This window comes from Homo sapiens, chromosome 12 (genome assembly GCF_000001405.40).
Source record: "Homo sapiens chromosome 12, GRCh38.p14 Primary Assembly".
NCBI lineage: Eukaryota > Metazoa > Chordata > Mammalia > Primates > Hominidae > Homo > Homo sapiens.
Window position 1 is genome coordinate 107,935,980 of NC_000012.12, and position 5,465 is coordinate 107,941,444.

A 5,465-nucleotide genomic window follows, 5' to 3' on the forward strand; every position below is an offset into this window, starting at 1 on the left:
ATTGATTTCCTCATATCAATCACAGCACTTTGTTAAACCTGTTTCCCCACCTGCTAAACAGGAATAATAATTGCATTTACTTCAGAAGATCATGGTGAACCCTAAACAAGTTAGTGTTAAGTAAGTTAACACATTGTGAGAAGGGCCCATTCACAAGGAACAGTGGACGCCCTCTACCAACCTAGAGTGGCCCAGCTGACAACTGACAAGACAATGGGAACCTCAGTCTTAAACTGCAGGAACTGAATTCTTCCAGCAAACACATGGACTTGGAAGGGGACCCTGGGCTCAGAAGAGAGCCTGCTAACACTTCAATGCAGTGTTGTGGGATCTTGAGAAGAAGACCCAGCAAAACCACACCTAGACTTCTGACTCATGGCAACTGTGAGATAACAATTGTGTGTTGTTTTAAGCCACTTAGTTTGAAGTAATTTGTTATGTGGCAATAGATAACTAAGACATGGAGTTACTCGCCCAAGGCTGCATAACTCCTCAGTGATAGAACCTGGATTCAGAACAAAAGCGAACCACCACACCTCCTGAAAGATAATGAGCCAGAGGGGCTAAAATGCCAAAGATTTTCTGATTAGCACTCAGCTGACCAGAAAATTAATTAATCAGAATCTCTACTTCCTTGGACCTTATGATTAGTCAGGGATTTTCTGCATTTGAAATCAAGTTTTCCACGGTGATTGCACCAAATACCATGGCTGCCCTGATGCTGCTGTACAAGTGCAGCAACTGTAGAGTTGGGGGAAGAAAGTTCCACTTTGGATGTGATCCAAAGGTCTGATTCAGAACACCTAAGTGTTTCCATTTTGAAAATGTGATGAGCATTGCTTACTGAGAAGTAGCCATCTGGTTTCATGCCTCTGCTGCATTCCCCCCCCATTGGACCACATGGGCTGAAGAAATTAGATCTGTGGACATAAGACTTACTCATTTTAAATATAGAGAATGATTCCATGGGGGCAGTGGTCTACTAATCAGACAGCCACGACCACCACTACTACCAAAATGACAATAGCAGCTCACAGTCATTCAGAGCTTTCCTGAGCCTGATGCAGAGCCCAGCTGTGAGACCTATGGGTTACCCAGGCAGGCTCATAATTTGGCACTCTTTTTATCGTTATGTTTTAATATTTATTCATCATCTATCTGTTGGGTGTCAGGAAAACTCAGTTACTGTTAATAAAATTGTATGCTTTTTTCTAACTCCAAATGTGGATCAGGTGTTTCACTCACAGTAGGAATGGAGAAAAAGTCACGTTTACTCATTCATACCCTGGGGCCAGCATGGAATCAATGAACTGAAAACATTGGACAACATGTTTTTCCCTTATCTGTCTTACCTTTTCTCACTTCAGTTTTCCTTTGTAGCTTCTTAGGAGACATATTAAAGGGATCAACATTTAGATCATGAAATAAATCTCCTTTCTAGCAAAGAGCTCTGTGGGCTGCAGAAGTGCAGTGCTAAATTCTCAACAGACCAAGTTGATGCCAGTGACCAGACTTTTAAAGCTTTTTCACTTGTTCATGCTGTCTGCTCCAGAGTGAGGGCTCTGGTTTGCATTTGGCCAGTTATGAGTATGTGTAGCTCTGTGTTGACTGGCTCCACATTCTAGATCTAATCCAAGGGTGCCTTGGCACACACTGCATGACTGGTTTGTCCCTCAACCTCATCAGTCTCTGCTGAACACTTTGAAGAAATCATCTCGTCTTTTCTTCCCTATCATGTTGTGAGGCAAGTACTATAATTGGCCCCATTTTCCTGATGAAAAAAGTGAAGCTTAGAGAGGTTAAGAAGCTTTCCCAAGCTTAGACAGCCATTAAATGGCAGAACTGGGATTCGACTCCAAGACCGACTGCCCCCAGAGCTTTTATTCATTATATTTGATGCTAAAATCCAGCATTTTGCAGGTGCACATTTGTTTTCATGGAAAAGTGACTGTATCAAGGATGAGTCCCACTGTAGCCACCATGAGCTGCTTTGTTGGGGGAAACAATGCAAGGGAAAGGTGTGAGGAGGTGCACACTCACCTGAGCCTCTAGCACAGGTGTCAGAAGTACTATGAGGTTGAAGACTCTCAGCTGTAGCACATCTCAGATTTGGTCAGTATTCATTTTATTCATACATCCAATTCAATTCAATTCAATTCATTTATTCATTCATTCATTTGAGATTGATTAAGAACCCATGATGACAAAGAGTGTTTTATGAACTAGCCGGTGAATTAGACAATGTCCCTGCACTTATGGCTTGCATTCTAATATGGAGGTAAAAGAAATAAGGAAACCAAGAAATAAAATACTTTTAGAAAATAATAAGCAACATGAAGGAAACAAGGGGGGTTGTGACAGAGCAACAGTGGGATCTGGGTAGAGAGAACAGTAAGGGAAGACCTGTCTGAGGAGGTGACAGCAGAGCTGAGATATGAATGGTGAGAAGGAGGCAGTGAGGACAGGACCTGGAGGAGGAGCATTCCAGGCACATGGAAGAGCAGATACAGTGACCCTGGGCTGGGAGTGAGCATTGCTTAGACAAAGGAGAGAAAGGATGCAGTTGAGGCAAAAGCACAGTGCATGTGGTAATACACAGGGAAGCCTGGTGTGGCTTGAGACCAGAGAAGTTGGTATGGGCCCCTAGGGCATTTCAGGGCAAAAAAAGAACTTGGACTTTGGCCTGGTGTAAGCAGGGAGCCATAAAAATGAACAGCAGGACCCAGGTAATACTTTTTTCAACGATTTCTCTGAATGTCATGGGAAAAATGGAAAAAGAGGTCCAAGAGTGATAATAAGAACAAGTGGGAGACTGCTGCAGAAGTCCTACTCCATATAGAAGGCACATCTGAGGGATTTCATGTTTCATTTCACTCCAGCCAGACTGGAACCCTTGCCAGTTCCCTTAACATGCCAAGCTCTTTCATGCCTCAGGGTTTCCCCCACCTGCAATACTCTTTCAGCCCCTTTCTTTAGCTAAGTCCAGTTCTTTTTTAGGCCTAAAAAGTCCCTCTTATCCAATGTCTTTTCATCTAGGAAGCCTTCTCTGACCCCAAGTGCAGGTGAGCGCTCCTTGTTTCTTATTCCCATGGCAACCAGCTCTTCCTCTTAATGGCACCCATCTGCCTTGCAACTACTTAAGCAAGTCCACCGTCCCCTGCTGTTCCCTTTATGAGCCCCACGAAGGCAATAATTACATCACTGCAGCCGCAAATAGAATGCACAAAGAAGGCTCTCAGCAAATATTTATTTCCTGAAATAATATTTTGTTGAAGTCCGTGGCAACTTGAGATTTATGCTACTGACCCTAAATGATTTTTAAACAATTAAGTAGGGTCAGTCTTTCAAACAATTTTTTGTTTTTTTGAGATGGAGTCTTGCTCTGTTGCCAGGCTGGAGTGCAGTGGTGCGATCCTGGCTCACTGCAACCTCTGCCTCCCAGGTTCGAGGGATTCTCCCACCTCAGCCTCCTGAGTAGCTGGGACTACAGGTGCGTGCCACCATGCCCAGTTAATTTTTTTGTATTTTTAGTAGAGACGGGATTTCACCATGTTGGCCAGGGTGATCTCAATCTCTTGACCTCGTGATCTGCCCTCCTTGGCCTCCAAAAGTGCTGGGATTACAGGCATGAACCACTGCACCCAGCCCTCAAACAAATTTTTTTAGAGCAATAGCTATGATGGCTACATGCCTTGTATGTGCCAGGAACAATATTAAGCACATTACACTCAGTTACTCATTTAATCATCTCAATAACCATATAGTATAGGAACATTCACCACTGTTTTTCAGATGGGAAGCTGAAGATGATCATGCTTAAGTAACTTGCCCAAGAAGACATTCTGATTATGTGATGGAGATAACAATTCAAATTCATGTCCATTTAGATGCAAAGCCCATGCTTTTTAAACTAATCACTCCTGAAGACAGGCACACTCATTCCCTCAGCAAGTATTTACTGAGTGTCAGCTTCAGTGCAGAGAAAGATATGATGTTGAATTAGCCAGAGTTCCTGCTTTCTAGGAGATTAGCATCTAGTAGGAGAGCTGAGACCTGGAGTGAAGAATCTACGTAATGTTTGTAATGTGGGAATCCATATGGCCCAGTCTAGAGAACTGTTGAGATCAAGAGAATTCAGTCTAAAACTCTTGAAAACAATTTCAAAGTAACACATTCACTTATTGTAATTCTCTAACACGATGAAGAGGACTCATAGTCTATAGAAATATTTCCTAAATCTTTTCCCTTTGCCACAGCTTCCCTCACATACTACAGCTTTTCCCAAACCCCTCAATCCCAGCCTCACTCCAAATCTTTTTCCAGTCAACTGATGCACCTCTTTCCCTTATTCCTTCTGTTTTTTTTTCTCCATAAGATTCTGTATCATTGAATCTCAAAACAGTTGACAAAACCCAAGCCAACTCTTTTGCCAATTCTGTGAAAACCATGGAGTTTCTTCTAGAGAAATACTCAAGTGCATGTACATGCAGACCAGCCCCTCCTGCCCCACACACAGACATGCACTTATTTTACTGGTTTGCCTGTAATTTCAAGGGTTCCACAGACGTCTGAATCTTACCCACAGTTTCTGGATGATAAACCTTGGCATTGGTAATCTGAAAAGCCATTAGCTACTTAGCATTTGCCAAAGCAGGATAGCTCTTCCTCTTTCCATGTGCATGAGAGGACTTCAGAAATTTGTATAAAAATAGATGCCACCCCAACCAACCAAACCCCATGCCTGCTGCTTCAGATGCATGTCTTTCTTCACAGTTTCCAGCTTTAAGTGGCTTTATCTTGCAGGGAGAAGGAAACTCTGTAATTAAGATAGCCAGACAACAAAGGACTTAGCAGCTCTCTAGCTGTTGACATTCTAGCTAAAAGAGCTGGACCCAACTCTCTCCTTTTTAAGCCCGGGTTCAGGCTAAAACCTGAACCCTGATACCGAGTGATTTTAATTAACCCACATGGTATGGTTCTGCAAACCAACTGTTCTCAGCCACTGCATTATGTCACTAGTGGATGGCCATCAGTTATCAGAAATGTTGGAAAGTAATTGGAACTATTAGTTAAGTCCTAGAGTTAGAACATTATTTGCTTAAAAAATAAATTTGTGGAGACTTCTGGTTCCAAAATGGCAGTGTAGAAGCAAGCTGGCTTCACTACCCCACACAGAAAACCAAAAACATATATACAGTCCTGAGATTATTACCAGCAAGATCCCAGAACTCAAATACGAGAATGAGACATTTCCCAGGGCCACAAAGAAGTGAAAAAATTCTGAGCAGATGGTTAGAGAATTGGATATCTATATCTGCAATGTCCCTACACCCAATCTGCCTGGCACGAAGTACATGGAAAATTTCCCCCCAACTCATGATTTCTACATTGAAAAAAGTGAGACCAAGGGGACAACTAACTTACCCACTATCTTATGTTCCCTGGCAGGAGACCTGTCCCTGCCT